The 17,943-nt window shown below is 48.2% G+C and overlaps 1 protein-coding gene across 7 annotated transcripts in view, besides 5 other annotated features; it reads right to left on the bottom strand.

The window, feature by feature from the left end:
• The window catches only part of ARHGEF37 (Rho guanine nucleotide exchange factor 37), an 83,344-nt gene that overhangs the window by 6,207 nt on the left and 59,194 nt on the right, over nt 1-17,943 (bottom strand). For 5 of the 7 annotated variants that reach the window (XM_011537642.4, XM_006714784.4, NM_001001669.3 and 2 more), the window contains 7 exons: nt 11,996-12,195; nt 10,456-10,586; nt 9,720-9,824; nt 8,298-8,408; nt 6,700-7,029; nt 4,622-4,750; nt 1,491-1,686 (listed from right to left, as the gene is read on the bottom strand). In XM_011537642.4, the coding sequence (XP_011535944.1) occupies nt 1,491-1,686; nt 4,622-4,750; nt 6,700-7,029; nt 8,298-8,408; nt 9,720-9,824; nt 10,456-10,586; nt 11,996-12,195 (1,202 nt within the window). The remainder of the gene's footprint in view (nt 1-1,490; nt 1,687-4,621; nt 4,751-6,699; nt 7,030-8,297; nt 8,409-9,719; nt 9,825-10,455; nt 10,587-11,995; nt 12,196-17,943) is intronic. The other 2 variants (XM_047417170.1, XM_017009460.2) reach the window with 1 other exon arrangement.
• Nucleotides 10,404-10,673: an enhancer, noted in NCBI's record as "active region_23382". NCBI's record gives its function as "activates an Ori minimal core promoter by ATAC-STARR-seq in GM12878 lymphoblastoid cells {active_cell/tissue: GM12878}" and the evidence as "EXISTENCE:reporter gene assay evidence [ECO:0000049][PMID:35858748]".
• Nucleotides 10,804-10,933: an enhancer, noted in NCBI's record as "active region_23381". NCBI's record gives its function as "activates an Ori minimal core promoter by ATAC-STARR-seq in GM12878 lymphoblastoid cells {active_cell/tissue: GM12878}" and the evidence as "EXISTENCE:reporter gene assay evidence [ECO:0000049][PMID:35858748]".
• Nucleotides 11,804-11,873: an enhancer, noted in NCBI's record as "active region_23380". NCBI's record gives its function as "activates an Ori minimal core promoter by ATAC-STARR-seq in GM12878 lymphoblastoid cells {active_cell/tissue: GM12878}" and the evidence as "EXISTENCE:reporter gene assay evidence [ECO:0000049][PMID:35858748]".
• Nucleotides 12,650-12,850: a silencer, noted in NCBI's record as "peak5533 fragment used in MPRA reporter construct". NCBI's record gives its function as "represses an SCP1 promoter by STARR-seq MPRAs in K562 erythroleukemia cells {active_cell/tissue: K562}" and the evidence as "EXISTENCE:reporter gene assay evidence [ECO:0000049][PMID:32103011]".
• Nucleotides 17,142-17,436: an enhancer, noted in NCBI's record as "tiled region #10925; HepG2 Activating DNase matched - State 8:EnhW". NCBI's record gives its function as "activates a minimal TATA promoter and a strong SV40 promoter by Sharpr-MPRA in HepG2 cells {active_cell/tissue: HepG2}" and the evidence as "EXISTENCE:reporter gene assay evidence [ECO:0000049][PMID:27701403]".

Here is a 17,943-nt window from a genome sequence, read left to right as displayed (position 1 = left end):
CCTTTTAATGAGGGAGAAAATCCATGGATATAAATGTTTCCAACACAGCTTCTCAACACCCAAGAGAACCAAAAGGTCATCTAGGAACCCTGAACCCCCCTGCCCCACACTCACCGTTTCTGGCTTCTGCTCACACACCCCAGTGATGGGGGGCTCATTCCCTACCGGACAGACGACTCCCTTTGATCAGCTATGATAGAGACTAAAAGTTTGTCCCTGGACTGGCATGAAAACTGCTTATCTGATGGAGCCGCCAGCTCCCATGCCCCTCTGGTGTCTGCCCAGAGCAAGAGCTGCTTCCTCTCCCCAGGACTGCCTTTCCTAGGAGGCGGAGACTGCCTTTCTCCTCTCCATGTGAGCCCAGTTCCTTTATGTGTAGCAACTAGTCCAGTGCTGTTCTGATTGCTGTCATTATGAATGGCTATCACTTCCTGAGGGTGTGCCAAACTACAGAGCAAGCATTTCATTACATAGTCTTCACATCACCTCTTGAGGGCAGCCAGTGATATTATCCTCTCCATTTTACGTTCAACCAGCCGAGCTCAGACTGGCTCCATGACTTCCCTGAGATCACACAGTCAGCAAAGTGGTGGAGCTGGAATCCAAATCCAGTCCTCTTGGCCTCGGGGGCCTTGCTTAATACCCGTTCTGTGGTTCCCACCTTAAGTCATGGAAGTGCTGTTTCATGATTTCTGTCTGATTTGTACCGCTTTCTTAATTTTTTAATTGACTCACTTTTTAAAACTTCATCTTGTACTATATACAATAATATGATTATAATCATGGAATTATGGACTACTTATATTTTTTCTAATACACATTAAAATGCTTAAGTAACAATTATAATACACTGTCTGAAGGGGGAAAAACTGTCTGTGGATCCCCTGACAATAATCTCAGGCACCCCTCATATTGTGGGTCACACACCCCTCTTCGGAAGATGCTCTCCTGGGCCATATCACCTGGATTCATGGTGCCACTTCCCTTCAGCCCAGTTACACTGGGGCACCCAGACCTCAGCAGCACTTCCCAAGGCCATGACCAGTATGGAGTGGGCAGGATGATCGCTCCCCTCATTCTGCACATCAGACTTCTGGCGGTGTAGCCAGGGTCCAGGCATTCTATCTCCGTGCCCATCTCCATCTTTCAGGGTGGTCCTGGAGTTCTCTCCATATAGCCCTGTTGACCTCAGTGGTCTGCAAGGCCCTCCAGGCAGGGGCCTTGTCTTATATGCTCAGCGCCCAGCACACCATAGGTGCTTCATGGTAGACCCTGCAACGAATGCCTCAATTCCTCTTGTTGGCTTTTCATGTCCCACGGAGTCACTCTAAACTGACTGTGCCCTGAGCCCTGTGTGTGTCACCTGTGCCTACTCCCATCCTGGAATGCCCAGCCAGACTTTGACCCACAAGAGTGCCCGGGTCTCTGCACCGGCTTCTGTGGGGTGGTTTTCCCCGAAGGAGAAGAAGGGCTCCCAAAGGCTCACGTACCCCCGGTGTCCACCAGCCAGCGGCCGCTGTTGCCTTTGGTGTCCTTGTTTTGAAGGATGGCCACGATTTGGCCCCGAGGCAGAGTCAGGTCCAGAGTCCCAGTCCCACTGATGTTGCTTGTCACCTGGTACAGCTTCCCAGGGCCATACCTGCTCAGGAGAGCCTGCACCTGGCGTTCAGACCCTGGAAGGAGCGGCTGGGAGAGGAGGAGCACAGACAGACACAAGTGCTTGAATAAACCTGTCAAAGCTGGCACCAACATTTGCTCACATTTTGACAGCCAGGAGTACTGGGCCTGATCCTAACTCTGCCACTGAAGGGCCCACCCTGATCAGGGCAACAGGGCCCTCACTAGCAGATGGCTGGCTCTTAGCAGCCTACGGCGTTTTGGAAGAAACTTCTAATTTCTGGGATTCTCTAAAATTCCAATTCAAGTTCTGAAATCTCTCAGTTACTGAACTCCTAGGATTGGGCCCTAAATTCTGCCCATACCGTCAGGGTAAGTTATCCCACAGCAGAATGCCCTGGACAGGTCTTTCAATTCCATTAGAGTGTGAGTTTCATGTGGGCACCAGACCTTATTCATCTGGTTTCTTAAATAGCCAGCCAGGGCCAGCACATGGCGGATTTCACATATGCAGGAACGAGGGCATGTAACCTTTGATTCCATGAGTTTTCAGTCCACAGGCATTTATGGAGCACCTGCCATTTACAGGGCACTGTGGAAAACTTTGAGAATGGTGTAGTAGAAATACAGGAGAGAGTTTTACCTAGACGAAATTGCCATCTAGCTGGAAAGAATGATTCGGTGGCACTTTCAGCTTATCCAAAAATCTCCTGGCATTTCCTGTTTTTCCATTGCATGATACTGCTTCCAGAAGAGTATCAACAAGGAGAGACTCAGGGATGCTTGTCCTCTTTTTGCAAAATCAATAAGAAACTAAATATGTTAAATATATATTTACTCTATGTCTTGAGAGAGGCGTGTGTGTGTGTGTGTGTGTGTGTGTGTGTGTGTGTGTGTGTGTGTTCACCATGCTCTATGTGGTTACTCCTTGTGGGGAGGTGCTGGGTGTGGGGAGGCAGGCAGAGATGCCCTTCAGGAACATTTGGCCACAGACTCTGCCACATCCTTGCCCCAAAGGGGATGGCGTCTCAGGATTTAGAACCAGGAGATCCCAATGTTTCTAAACAGGTCCTTAAACAGGAATGTAGAGACGAGGTAGTTTTCTTTGAGAACAGTGGTGTTGTGGTCATTTCTTTTAGGACAGTGATATGCATGTGAGTATAAGAGCCAGTGGTGTCACAAATGCTGGCCTTCTTTCTCAAGGCTGACCGGCCCTCCCTATGCAGAGAACAGCGTCACCCCTGGGAGGGCCCCCAAGGAGGGCTTGTAAAGATCCCATGAGGGCTGCTTCTGTCCGGGGAGACCACCTCACTTGTGCTGGGTTCTATACCCTCAGCCAAATACATCAGGAATGTGCAGGAGGTTTGTGTGTGTGTGTGTGTGGAGAGGTGGGAGGGTGGGAAGGGGTGACACATTCAAGTGGCTGCTCTGCTGTTTATCCTCTGCACCCGTGCTCTCTCCCCGAGTCTCGGGGCCCACGGCACACCCCTAGTCGGTGAGGTCTCTGCTGGGCAAAACTCTCCATGTAGAGTAAGAGCGGGGACAGATGGGGCCAATGAGGAGTCAGCCTGCAGCCTTGTGGCGGATATCAGGCTGTGAAGGTCTCCCATGTTCGCGGCACTTGGGCCAGGTGTGGGCTACCTTTATCTGTCCTGTTCTGCTGGGCTCCTGTTCTTGTTTCTCTGTGTCCCTGGGGCCCCATTCTCCCTCTGGGGAATCTCAGGGCTGTCTTCTGACTCTTCAGTTCACATGTTGCATGTGAGGGGACAGTTTCAATTTCTCAGATCCAGGTCTTGCCACAGTCTGAGGAGACCCTTCTCCCTACAGCTGCTTCAGTTACTTTTAAAACACAGACTGCCTGGGTACACTTTACAAGTGACTAGAACAGATAACCTCTCCTTATATTTTAAAGGAAAATACATTTTTTAAAAAGCATTTGGGGCCAGGTGTGGTGGCTCACGCCTGTAATTCCAACACTTTGGGAGGCTGAGGCGGGTGGATCACTTGAGATCAGAGGGCAGGAGTTCGAGACCAGCCTGGCCAACATGGTGAAACCCCCTCTCTACTAAAAATACAAAATTAGCCAGGCGTAGTGGTGGGTGCCTGTAATCCCAGCTACTCGGGGGGCTGAGGCAGAAGAATTGCTTGAACCTGAGAGGTGGAGGTTGCAATAAGCCAAGACCACACCACTGCACTCCACCCTGGGCGACAGTGTGAAACTCCATCTCAAAAAAAAAAAAAAAACCCAAAAGCATTTGGTCAGCCAAAGCTTTGTAAACCATCATGCAGCTGAAATACTGTTCTTTGCAATAAAAAATACCACAGCGATAGGAAATTTAAATGACATAATCAAAATTTTTATTTATGTTGAATGCTCATGTTGAAGCTGGCATTAGAAGGCAGGGAAGGAAAAGGATACCTTTGCTTGGCTCACTGCAACCTCTGCCTTCCAGGCTAAAGCAATTCTTCTGCCTCAGCCTCCCAAGTAGCTGGGAGGTGCACACCACCACGCTCAGCTAATTTTTGTATTTTTAGTAGAGACAGGGTTTTGCCATGTTGGCCAGGCTGGTCTCGAACTCTTGGCCTCAAGTGATCCACCCACCTCGGCCTCCCAAAGTGCTGAGATTACAGGTGTGAGCTACTATGCCTGGCCAAGGATACCTTTTGATGACAATTTGAAGAAGTTCTAGGTTTTTGGATGTCAATGCCAGTTGCCCATCATTACGTCTAATTTCACTTAATATTAAAAGGTCTGAGTTTTCTTTTCCTTGACTCAGAAGTTCTGTGCTTTTCTTCTACTTCTTGGATGTAAAGAGTGTGTATGTATCTGGGTGTGTCCCCCCACCCCAGCTCAAATAGAAAGGAGAGAGAAGAGAACATATTTCCATGGATAACAGGAAACATTGGGGGACCAAAAAGGAAAGGAAAGAGGGGATGGATGGAGCCTCACCCTACTGGCCAGTGAAGAACTGGACAGTCTTTGGGGTGGAGGAAGGATGCTTACTTGTGTGGTGGGAGGTGGCTGCACTTTCTCAAAGGTCTCTTGAAAGGAGCGAAGCTGGTTACTCGTCCGGCCCAGTGCGTCCTCCACCAGCTTCCTGAAGGCAGGCTCTGGGACGTGGTGGTGGGGCAGCTAAGTGGGGACAGACACTGTCAACAGAGCTGGGCAAGAGGGGACAATGAGATCCCTGGCTTGCTTTGGGTTTATATTATTTTCAACCCAAGGAGTTCTGAGTGATACTCTGTCCTGAGACCTTGACCCTGTGCAGGATCTCTTGCATTTTCGTCAGACAACCTAGGAGTGAGTGAGATGCCACAGCTTGTCACCAGATTCACAGCTTGTCACCAAACTCATTGTTCTTAGTGCTGACCTAGAGCCTTCCTCCCACCAGGATTCAGGGAGATTGAGGTTTCTGCCTGCAGCCTTTTCCAGGCTCCACAGGGACAGGCCACATGCATGGACCACAGGACACAGATAAGGCAGGCTGGCAGCTGTCACCAGCAGACTCTGATGGACCAATCAGGAAGCGCCCTTACTTTCTGCTTTTATAAACGTGACCACCTCTCTACTGGCATCCCCAAACACTCCCTAGCTCTGCACATCCCAGATTTAATGCAAGGGGTTGGGGGCAGCCCAAGAGAGAAAACCTCTAGGCTACAGGAGAGGGAAAAGATAACCTCATCAGATTTACTCTTCTGCCCTCAAGGAAGAGACAGTTCTTTTACTGATGGTTCAGGCCTAATTCAATTTGCAGAGTGTCTGGGACAGAACTCTGTGAGGGCCAAAAAGAGAAAAAGCTTGCAGTCCCAGTCCCCATGCTTGAGGAGAAACACATTCATGGATTCCTGCAGCAGAAGGCAGGCTCTGAAAAGTACTAAGCACAGTTCCATCCACAGGGCTGCTGGAGTACAGAGGATAGGGAGATGACTTCTCCCCCTCAGGAGATGGGGAGCTCTGAGAGCTTCATGGAGAGACTCATTCATCTGCCACTTGTTTGGGGAGCTCCTACTCTATGCCAGACACTGAAAGTGCTCAGGGACAATGGAGAGGGGCATTCTAAGCTGAGGCAGGTGTCTGTGCAGAGTGGCCACATCCAGCAGCTGTGTGCTGGAGGGGAGGGCTGTGGGCTAGAAAGGTGATGGGGTGGGGAAGGCAAATCTTAGTAGAGTTTTCATGCAAAGAATTGGATGGGGAAAAGCTGAGCTGGAGACTGTGACACACAGGAAACAGTGTGTGATATTAGGAGTATTGAAATTGCTCCCAAGGTGGGACCCAACAGCAATTCAGCTCTCATGTTGACATCTGAGAGCAAGATCTGGAAGCAGTTGGGTGTTCTTTCTTGTATCAACTCCAGTCTTCCAAATTCTAAAATCAAAGTTTGCATTTGGAGGTTTATCCAAACCTCTGTGGAACCTATTTATGCTTTCAGCCGGTAGCTCCTTTTACAGGCTCTTGAGTGTTGTGGTTCAGAGTCCAGGCCCTGGAGCTGAACTGTCAGAGTTCAATGCTTGCTATTAGCCGTGTGGCCCTAGACAAGCTACTTTACCTCTCCGTGCCTTGGCTTCTTTATTTTTAAAATGAGTATAATTATACCTCCTCTGTAGGGTTGTTGTGAGGATTGAATGAGATCATGCATGGAGAGTGCTCCAAACAGGTACATCCTAAATACTCATGAGAAGATGGCTGCTGGAAGTAGTAATAGTAACACCGGCTTGAGACATTTACTCCTTACTGTGTAGAAACGACCTTCTGTCTCTGTCATCAACTTCTAGTACACTCCAGAGATCAGTCCCAAGATCTGCCATTGTATGAGCAAAGCTTCTTCTGCTTCTGAGTTGCAGGACTTGGGAATGGTCTGAAATCTCAGTCCTATCCTTGCTTTCATGGTCTGACTTCACTAACAGAGGGAGACTGGGCATGAGAGAGATCTGGAAGGTTCCCACTGCCTCTTCCTAAGGGCCTGATGACCTGTTTTCAGGCCCATCCTCCCTCCATCCTAGCCCCTACACACAGCTGGCTGATGGGGCTGCAGGGCCTTGCCTGGCTACTCCCCACAGGTGTCCAAGTCTCAGAGGCCTTACCTGGGCCATGCTTCCCTCTGCCCTCTGCAGCACTTGCTTTGCAAGGTCCCTCTGGAGGGTCACGAATGTGCACATGATCTGGCCCAGCCACTGCATGACCAGCTGGTTAAACTGTGGGAGCTCAGCCACTAGCAGCGAGTTGAGTGCCTGGTATGTGTGCCGGGCGGCCTCCTCCTGGTAGGTCACACTGCCCACCTCCAGCAGCTTCTCTTCCACCCGCTCAAAGTCCAGTAGCTTGTCCAGACGCTTCTTGATCAGGTTCTGAGGGCCAAGCAGGGCTTTGGCCAGGCTGCACAGTGGCTGCCACACCAGGCCTTCTAGCCGTTGCTTCTGTGGGGAGACATGAGCGTGGGAGTCGGGAAAGGAGGTGGCAAAGGGCAGGGGCTGTGAGAAGGGGCTTTGGAAGCATGCAGGCCTGGATTCCAGTCTAACTCCCACTGACTAGCTGGGACCTTTAGCATGTTATCTAACTTCTCTGGGCCTCAATCTGCCCATCTGAAAAATGGGGACGATGCATGTAATGAGCTTAACAGAGTGCTTAGCACAGAGTAGGCATTCAATCTTATATAGCACTTTGAATCATTATTATGCAAAGACCTTGAAAAAGTTTTTTGTTTTTTTTTTTGAGACAGGGTCTCACTCTGTCTCCCAGGCTGCAGTGCAGCAATGCAATCACAGCTCACCGCAGCCTACCTGTCAGGCTCAAGCGATCCTCCCACCTTAGCACATGCCACCACACCCAGCTAATTTTATTATTATTATTTTTTGTAGAGACAGGGTCTATGTTGCCCACAGTGGTCTCTAACAACTGGGCTCAAGCAATCCTCCTGCCTTGGCCTCCCAAAGTGCTGGGATTACAGGCATAAGCCACCTTGCCCAGCCTTAGAAAAGATTTTGTATAGAGTGGTGGTCAAGAGTCTTTGGGGCTCAGATCCCAGCTTATCACTGACCATCTGTATAAATGACCCAGGAGGTGACCCCCTCTGAGCCTCAATCTCTCACCTGCAGAATGGGGTTATTCAAAGTAGCCACCCCCAAAACCATATGGTGAGGATTAAATGATGTAAGGAATATAAAGGGCTTAGCATAGAGCCTGGCAGATAGTGAGGCTCAATAAATGTTAGTGGGGGCTATTTTTATCAGGAAAGTGCACTAATAATAATCTCTATGCTGCTGACCACTCAGGAAGATTACAGATGTGGCAATTGTGTAAAGTGCCTGACTTCTTTTTTTGAGAAGGAGTCTCACTCTGTCTCCGGGCTGGAGTGCGGTGGCATGATCTCGGCTCACTGCAACCTCTGCCTCCTGGGTTCAAGCAATTCTCCTGCCTCAGCCTCCTGAGTAGCTGGGACTACAGGTGCACACTGCCATGCCCGGCTAATTTTCTGTATTTTTAGTAGAGACGGGGTTTCATCGTATTGCCCAGGCTGGTCTCAAACTCCTGAGCTCAGGCAATCTGCCTGCCTCGGCCTCCCAAAGTGCTGGGATTACAGGCGTGAGCCACCACGCCTGGCCAAAGTGCCTGACTTCTAAATATTATTCTTGTAAGCTCTACCACCTGCCTAACAAAGAAAGGAGAAAGGAAAGGTTCCACTCACAAATTTCAGGAAGGCCTCAAGGTGAAGGTCTCTTGCCAAATTGCAATACTGCACTGCAGGCCCCTCGGGGATGTCCAGATTGTATTCGTGCGGCCTGAAGTAGAGGAAAGCCTGGACCCAGTACCAAGGAGAAACATCCAATCATGCCTGTCATGGCCATCTTACGCTGGAATCCCCTTCCACCATACCTTGAAGAGGTTTTCCAGGCTCTCTACACACCCCCAATGAGAGGGACACACACAGCTGATTCTATTCTCACACAGCTTAAGTGATTAGAAAGTTCCGCCTTAGACTGAGTCAACATCTTTCTCCTCATTCCAGTGCTTCTTGAACTTCATACATTTACATGCCACCTTTGTGGGGTTTTTTTCTTTTTCTTTTTTTTTTTTTTTGAGACAGAGTCTCACTCTGTCACCCAGGCTGGTGTGCAGTGGCATGATCTTGGCTCATTGCAATCTCTGCCTCCCAGGTTCAAGCAATTCTCCTGCCTCAGCCTCCTGAGTAGCTGGGACTACAGGCGTGTGACACCTTGCCTGGCTAATGTTTTTCGTATTTTTAGTAGACACAAGGTTTCACCATGTTGACCAGGCTGGTCTTGAACTCCTGACCTCAAGTGATCTTCCCGCCTCGGCCTTCCAAAATTCTGGGATTACAGGCGTAAGCCACTGCACCCAGCAGTGCGTTTGTTTTTTCCCATGTCCATATTCCACATGTTCTATTAATACTTTTCTCTAACTTTTCCTATTTACATCAATGCATTAAAAAAATGCCCCATAGCATTTAAATCTTCATTTAATTAGTTGCTCACATTGACGCATCAGGAGATGTCATCAAAAATCTGAAAAATACCTGAATTTCCAGGTGTGTTTTTCTTAAAGTCAGAAGAACTGGGCCCATATTCTCACCCAGCAACAACCCCCCAGAGCTGAGGAATAGCTGCTCCTTTAGATTTGATTCATGTATTCATTCATTCAGCCCTTCAAATTCCAAATATTATTTTATATTTAAGTTCACTGAAAAGTCTCATAAACAGCCTGTTAGACACTAGGCTCCTATTGCATTGGATTGCCTGTTACCTGCACACTTCACTCAGTAGCATTACCTGCCTGGCCCCTTTAGGCACCTGTTTGTCTCCCCTGCTCTAGGTGCTGGTCTGGCAGAGTTGCTCTGCGGGGCTCTGCTTCCAGTGAATTTTGGCCCTATGTGGTAGGAACTCCAATGGGCTCGGAGCTGCCCCCAGTATAATGGCCTGGGGCTGAGGAGTGCTGGCCAGCATTCTCCAGAAGAGATGAGACAGGATGACCTCATCTGGTTGGTTTCTGAGGCTGGTGCCTTTCCCAGCTTGTAGGCTGGGCCCTGCAAGCCTCCTGCCAGGGGAACCCAGCCCAGACTCGCCCTTTATGAACCCTGCAGTGTCCTCACCTGCAGATTGTCCAGGTAAGCAGCCACGTTGTTCTTCAGCTCAGTCACACACAGAGACACCCACTGGAACCTCTCTTCTAAATCATCAAATTCCTTGTCTTCTGTCTGAAAGTAATGTGTGTGAGGGTTGAGAATATCCACATGGGGGCAGTGTACACCGGCTTCAGTGTTCCAGGTCCTCACTGGGACAACCTTTCCACAGACTCGCCCACCAGAGCTGGTTCTCGCAACCCCAAAGCTGAGAGGGTGGTGTAGCTCAGTGGTTTTACATTCAGAGCATGGAATCGGATACACAAGCATGAGCCCCAGTTCATTGGCTTCCTAGCCGTGTGACTCTGGACAAGGGTTTTACCCTCTCGGAGTTTCTGTTTTCTCATGGGGATAGTGGGAACACTTATTTCATTGTGTGAGCATGCTTGGTTTCAGAGCAGGCACTCCACCAACCTGTGCTGCTAGAAGTAGCTATTTAGGGCTGGTCCTTTGCCCAAACCCAGAGACCAGCTCTCCTATCTGTGTAAATAGGCCCCAAAGAGAGTGGCCCAAGACACTGGAGAAACCCCTCCACTGGCTCTTCAGAATCAAGTGGGGTGCCACCTCTGCCTCTTCCCAGCACCTCAATCTCTCAGCCTCCATTGCCTCAGTTCTGAAAGGAGCCTAAGTCCCCTGTCTACCCACTGTGCAGGGCCTGGCCTTGGGGGTGGCTGGATGTGACTCTTCCTCCCAGGCGCACGCTCACCCTGGGGATCAGCCCCGCCTCCTGCTTCAGCAGCTGGCTCAGCCGGGTGGTCTTCTTGGAGAGGGTGTGTGTGTTGATGCGGGCCAGCCGCTCCCGGAGGGTCAGCTGCTCTACCTTGGTGTACTTGGAGGCTGCAACGACAGAGAAGAGGGGAAGCACGGTGATCAAGCCAACTCAGGAAAGTGGATGTCACGGACATGCCCGGCTGGGCACCTGCTTGGGCCCTCTGCTCCATCAGGGTCACATTCATGAGGTTAGTGAGTCACACAGGAAAAGCATAGGGTCCTCTGTCTGAGGTGTGAGCCCTGGCTGAAGAGCTTCCTGCCTGCTTGACTTTGGGAAGTCACCACTCCTTGGGGCCTCAGTTTCCTCATCTGTAAAATGGGACCAGCCACCTCGCAGGATTGCTGGGAGAGTCACCTAAGACAGAGGGTCTGAATGAACTTCCTAAAGAAGAACCCATGGAGGAGAGATTTGCCTGGGGTCCCTCAGCCACTTTGAGCCAGGCCAGCTGGGAGCCACGCTTCCCGGTCCTGACTCAGTGCTTCCTACTGATCTGTCGTAGGATGGAGAAGCAGGTGGGGAGGAAATCCAAAGCTGCTAAATATAGTATAGCATGGTGGTGAAGACTCCAGGCCTGAGTTTGAAACCTGGCTCTGTCCCTTACCAGTTCTGCGACAGGAAGCAAGTGATGCATGCTCTCATTTTACCTGACTGTGAAATGGGGCTAACAGGGCCAACCTCAGAGGGTTAGTGCAAAGACCAAATATGACAATGAAGGAAAAAGCATGGCACAGCTAGCCCTTAGTAAACATTAGCTGAATTGCCATTTTTATGTTGTCTCAGTCATGTAATTGAGTTTCTCTTAACTTGAGACACTGTTTCGTTTTCCAAACCTTTCTGTTTTAATAACCTGAGAGGCAGGCTCCCCAGATATATGCACAGCTCTTTACCTCCCCACTATTGATTTCTCCTCCACAGTGTGGCAGTCATGTGGTTTGGATGAGATTGATCTCACTTTAGCTCAAGGGGTGGATTGCTGACTGATACAAGCCAATTTATATAATTCCAAACCCCTGGCAACAGTGATTAATTCAAAGAAGGGCACATAACCCAGACCTAAGCCAATCAGTTCATGATGCCCTAACTTTGGTGATTAGTTCAAGGTAAGCACATGACCCAGGTGGGTCCTATCAAAGAGAAACTTTGACTTAATTTTTGTGGCTAAGGGGGAAAAAACCCTGCCTTACCCGGGTAAGTGTGGTGTGCAGCTGTGAGTCTTGGAACAGCCACAACTTACTATTATGAGGCAAGCCAGCCTGAAGATGAAGCTGATACAGAGTAAAGAGCAGAGACAAGGGAGTTACAGGGAACTGGAGCCAGCACCCTGATCGAACCCTACCTAAAGCTTGCATTACCTCTGGATTTATAGTTACATAAGCCACTACATTCTCTTTACTGGTGAAGCAGATTTTAGATAAATTTTCTGTAACTGGAAGCATTCCTACTAATGTGTCCCCTTAAATGCCCAAGTCCTTACCCACTTCCTTGCGCATCTTGTACTCATTGATATTGGTGTTCACGTCCTGGAGGGCAGAGACAGCCCTCTGAAGGACAGGATAGGCACTGGCATCAGGGACTGTGTTCTCCAGGATTTTCTGCAGCAGCAGTGGGTACCTGGTGATCCTCTGCAGAGGAATTACCAGCAAGAAACTGAGGCCTGAAGATCCAGCTTGCGGCCTGAGGGAGAAGGCTGGTATTAGGCAGGTAAATCCCACCCTCTGGAGGACCAGGGGGCCTGGGCTGTAGTCCTCACTCTACCATTTAGCTCACTGTGTGATCTCAGGCAAGTCACCCCCTCTCTGCGATCCTCCAGTTCCTCATCTGTAACTTGTGAGTTCTAGATGTTAGGCAGGCAGTGACGGTTCTGGGCCTTGGTTTCCCATCTGTCCCAAATCCAATGTTCAAGCTCTCTGCCCTCAGCTTGCTCGGCCTCTCCACAGCAGACACGACTGACTACACCCTTGCTCTTGAAACACTTTCTTCTTTTGGCTCCAGAGACACCCTCTGTCCTGCTTCTCCTCATACTCTGCAAGCAGCTCTCTCAGCCTCCTCTGCTGGCCTCTCTCCAATGCCGGAGTGCCCTGGGTGTCCTCTCCTCCCTCTCTCTCCACTTTCTCTTAGTGACCTCATTTGGTCCTATGGCTTTAAACACATCCCAAGCCCAGATCTCCACTTCCAACTTCTGTTCCAGAGCTCCAGACTGACACATACAACTAGATCCTTGACATCTCTGCTCAGATATGTCCCGAGCGCAGCTCAACTCTGTGTTGTGTATCCACATGATATCTTATTTAATAGAATGGTCTGCTGCCTTAAAGAAATGTTCGTGTTTTTTTGTTTTGTTTTGTTTTTTGAGACAGAGTCTCACTCTGTCACCAGGCTGGAGTGCAGTGGTGCGATCTCGGCTCACTGCAACCTCTGCCTCCCAGGTTCAAGTGGTTCTCCTGCCTCAGCCTCCCGAGTAGCTGGGATTACAGGTGCACACCACCACGCCCAGCTGATTTTTTTTTATTTTTAGTAGAGACGGGGTTTCACCATGTTGGCCAGGATGGTCTCAATCTCTTGACCTTGTGATTTGCCCGCCTCGGCCTCCCAAAGTGCTGGAATTACAGGTGTGAGCCACCACACCCGACCAAAAAAAATGTTCTTAAAATCACGGGAACTTAATTTTTAGAGATTTATTTAAAGTATTTAGGGGTAAAAAGTCATAATATCTATAATTTCCTTCAAATTAGCATAAAAATAGATAAAGCAAACAGCAAAATGTTAACACTTGTTAATTTTAGGTGGTGGGTATGTATCTATCACATTATAGTATTTTTCTATAGTTTTGAAACTTTTTATGAAAAAAAGTTAAAAAAAATGATTGCTTGAGGCCAGGAGTTCAAGACCAGCCTGGGCAACATAGCATGACCTCTGCTTCAAAAAAAAAAAAAAATTAACTAGGCATGGTGGTGGCTACTCAGGAGGCTAAGGCAGGAGGATTGCTTAAGCCCAGGAGTACGAGGATACACTGAGCTATGATCATGCCACTGTACTCCAGCCTGGGCAACAAAGCAAGACCTCATCTTTTTAAAAAAAGTGAAAACAAAAAAAACTCTGGAACTAATGGTGCCAAGGTCCCTTCCAGATACACCACTGATGCATGGATGACTAGTTATAGTCTCCTTCTTAAGGATGTCTGGAATTTCATCCAGAGTCCCCAAGTCAATAGCATCCGGGAAGGGGCTCCACAGTCTTTTCTTGATTATGACCAGTAGCCCCTAGGCCCAGATTGGAGAAAGCCACAAAGGTTTCAAATCTCAGCCATCTAAGTGTGCCTTCTCCTTGAAGACTCAACCAATGCTGCTCAGGAACTTTCTCTGGGCCCTCCCTGATGATACTCGTGCCTCTGGCTCTCCTTCCTTAGGAAAATCTCCAGACCAAATGTCCAGGAAAGATCAGCCATGAAGCTAAGAATAGGCAGAGCAGGTGGGAGCCCCTCAGAAGCTGCAGGGGGCAGGATTACCCATCAGGAGACGCCTACGCTGGTCATCTGCTCTCACCAAGGGTGTCCTGGGGCTTGGCTGACTGTGGGCAGGGGAGGTGGAAACCACTGCCAGGTATTTGCAAGACTCCATCCTCTGGACTTCCTTTCCATGGGAAAGAGCCAAGTGTCTCCTGGGGACAACTATCGCCTCACAAATTAGAGAGCAAGGGGTCCTGGAAGAGATGACCGCGTACTTTCCTTACAATCATGAAGGAATTACCAAAGAATGAGGGCATCCGCTCACATTTACAGACTTTCTAAGGTAATTTGGACAATACTTTTTTATGCAGCTTTTCAGATAGGCAACAGAAATTGAAAGATGATACACAGAGCTGGGTGAGTGTGGAAAAACAGGTCTTTGTACATTCTCTTGGTGGGAGTATCAACTGGCAAGATCTTGGAGAGGCAGAGGAGTTTGGCAATTTGTAAAGGGTACAAACCCTTTCTTCCATCAATCCCATCCTAGAAATATACCCACAAAAATCCAAACCCAAGTGAGCAAAGATAAAGGTACAAGTTGTTCAGTGACTCTATTTGAGTTAGTAAATAATTGGAAACAACCCAAATATGCTTCAATAGAGGAATGGCCAATAAACCATAGTCTAAGAACAGTCCAGGAAAGAAACTCTGCAGCCATTAAAAAAAACACTGTGCTGGGCGCAGTGGCTCATGCTTGTAATCCTAGCCCTTTGGGAAGCCAAGGTGGGCAGATTTCTTGAGTCCAGGAGTTGGAGACCAGCCTGGGCAACATAGAGAAACCCTGTCTCTACAAAAATACAAAAAATGAGTCAGGTGTGGTGGCACACACCTGTAGTCCAAACTACTCAGGAGGCTGAGGTAGGAGGATCCCCTGAGCCTGGGAGGTCAAGGCTGCAGTGAGCTGAGATTACACCACTGTACTCCAGCCTGGGTGACAGAGTGAGACCTTGTCTCAAAAAAAAAAAAAAAAAGAAAACACTGTAGAAATATCAATATCCATGCTGTCCTGAAAAGATATTCATTACTATGGTTAAGCATAAATGTAAGTTCTAGAACAGCATGTATAGAAGCAGCCTCATAAAAATTCTATCAGACGGGCGCCGTGGCTCACGCCTGTAATCCCAGCACTTTGGGAGGTCAAGACTGGCAGATCACGAGGTCAAGAAATCAAGACGATCCTGGCCAACATGGTGAAACCCTGTCTGTACTAAAAATACAAAAATTAGCCGGGCGTGGTGGCGCACTCCTGTAGTCCCAGCTACTCGGGAGGCTGAGGAAGGAGAATCGCTTGAACCCCGGAGGCAGAGGTTGCAGTGAGCTGAGATTGCACCACTGCACTCCAGCCTGAGTGACAGAGCAAAACTCCGTCTCAAAAAAAAAAAAAAATTCTATCTATCTAACCATCTATCTGTCTGTCCATCTATGTGTCTCTCTATCTATAAATATACAGTAGAAAATTTGGATGGAAAACATTACTAGTGGAATGGATTTTTACTTTTTACTTTATATACTTGTGTTATTGGAACTTTCCTTTTGTTCAATAAGCATATGTTGCTTTTATATTTAAAACAAACACACCTAGCTGATAAAGGAAAACAAAGAAGGTTATCTGCCTTCTCCAAACTCTGCTGCCTCAGCCATCATTCTGGAATTGCAGTGCTTTGTGCTGGACGGGCCCACCTCTGCAAGGCCGCCTTTTCCACCCTGACAGCTCTACCATTAGGACAGTCCTACCTAGGGCAGAGCTTCCTGCCCACTGCAAAGGTGAGTTTTTTTATTCCCTTGGCTCTCAGATGGGAAGAGTTGCCTTAAAAGACAGAATGAACATCCTACCCAAATAAAGGGTGGGGTCAGCGTGCATTTTGGAATCCCAAGGAATCTAATAACCTGGTGCCATCTATCATAGCAGACTGAGAAAGAACTAGTTATGGCTGGCGTGGTGATTATTATTGGCCAGGCTCTGGAAAGTAATGCCGCAGGCATTTAACGGGCAGGGACAGGACCAGGTACACTGGATGTCTTGCAAGGACAGTCCTGAACTACAGAGAATTGTTCCATGTCTCATATGTCCCCCTGAACATTCAGAAACTGAACAAAGGCCTCGAAATGTGTTACACTTCTAAGAACCTAAATATGTTTGTCACACTTGGACTCTATCCAGTCATATATCATAATACTGGGAATTACTATGACACTATCTTTTATAAATCCCAATTTCAACGGTGTTATTTCCTTCTTTCTCTTATCATAAATAAGAAAGTCAGGTTTAGGCCAGGCGCCATGGCTCACGCCTGTAATCCCAGCACTCTGGGAGGCCGAGGTGGGCGGATCACGAGGTCAGGAGATGGAGACCATCCTGGCTAACACGGTGAAACCCCATCTCTACTAAAAATACAAAAAATTAGCCGGGCGTGGTGGCCGGCGCCTGTAGTCCCAGCTACTCGGGAGGCTGAGGCAGGAGAATGGCGTGAACCCGGGAGACGGAGGTTGCAGTGGGCCGAGATCGCGCCACTGCACTCCAGCCTGGGCGACAGAGCGAGACTCCATCTCAAAAAAAAGAGAAAGTCAGGTTTATTGTCACTGTCAGTTGCTATTCTAGGGTAAACACATTCTGTGCCCTTTCATTTTTCTGTACTTTTTGTACAGAACAGCTTCAGATATCTCTTTCTTTAAATCCAAACTTATTTATTACAAGTAGCTGCAAGCATCTGATGGCTTCCTTATATCTTTTAGTAGTGGTGTCCAAGCATATGCACACTAAACTATATAGCATTTTATTGGAAATTATTTTCCTTTTATTTCTCCTTTCTTAGTGAAGCCATTATACTGATTTTTTTCAGTTACATATATAGGTAGAAGAGATATATTTATTTATACATATATTTCAGGATATGTCTTAGGATAGTAAATGTATGTAATATTTGTTATAACAAGGGAGCATGGCACTGATAAAATTGAGAACTACAGTGTGGTCTCAGAGAAAATAGAATCCCTGCCTAGCCGAGATAACTATAATACGTGAGATTCATTGAGTGTCACTCGTGTGCAATGAATCAATGCCCCATGCGGGGCTGTTATTCCTCCCACCTTACACATAAGGAAACTAGATCCTGAGACATAAGATGGCTCTCTCATGGCCAGGGGCCAAGCCACATCCACCACCATGGAGCTCGGCTACAGAGCCCATGAGCAAAGCCCAGCTGGCCTGGCTAGGAAAGACCAAAGTGCAGAGGATGTAATAAACAGCAGCCTCTGAGCAAACTAGGGCTCCCACACACAGTGTTTATTAAATGTCTGAGCTAGATGCCAGCACTGAACTCTTGAGAGATGTTACATCTAAGTTTCTGGCGTCTCTTAAAAAAGCAGAGGCTCTGGCCACAACAGACCCTCATTTCTACATGGCAGCTGAGGCAGATGGTTTGCAAAAACATCACTGCTATTATTCCTCCCCCAATCTCTACAAGCCTTTGTCACTATGAAGCTCCTGCTACCAAGAAATGCAGTTTATTTCCCCACCCCTTGAGTATGGGCTGGCCTTAGGACTTCATTTGAATGACAATGTGCCAGTTCCCAGCTAAGACCTCTAGATGCCAAGCCCTCCCCACAGCCCTTAGAACCATGAGACCATGATGTGAATAAGCTAGCAGGCGGGAAGAGGAGAGACCATAGGACCACAGGTGAGGCAGCTCATGTGTCCCAGATACATGAAAAAACCCAGCCAGGATCAGCAAAGCTGACCTGCAGGTGACTGCAGATATTTGAGGGTGCTAATGATTCCAGGAGAACATTTACTGAGTACACCTAAATTGCTAATATGCAGAAGTATGAGCTAAATAAATGTTTGTTTCAAGCCACTACATTTTGGGGGTGATTTGTTATCTAGCAAAAGCCACTTGATAGCAGCAATTAGCTAAGGC

Source organism: Homo sapiens, chromosome 5, assembly GCF_000001405.40.
Source record: "Homo sapiens chromosome 5, GRCh38.p14 Primary Assembly".
Taxonomy (NCBI): Eukaryota; Metazoa; Chordata; class Mammalia; order Primates; family Hominidae; genus Homo; species Homo sapiens.
The sequence above is the reverse complement of the archived record's forward strand: the minus strand, read 5'-3'. Positions and strand labels throughout refer to the sequence as shown.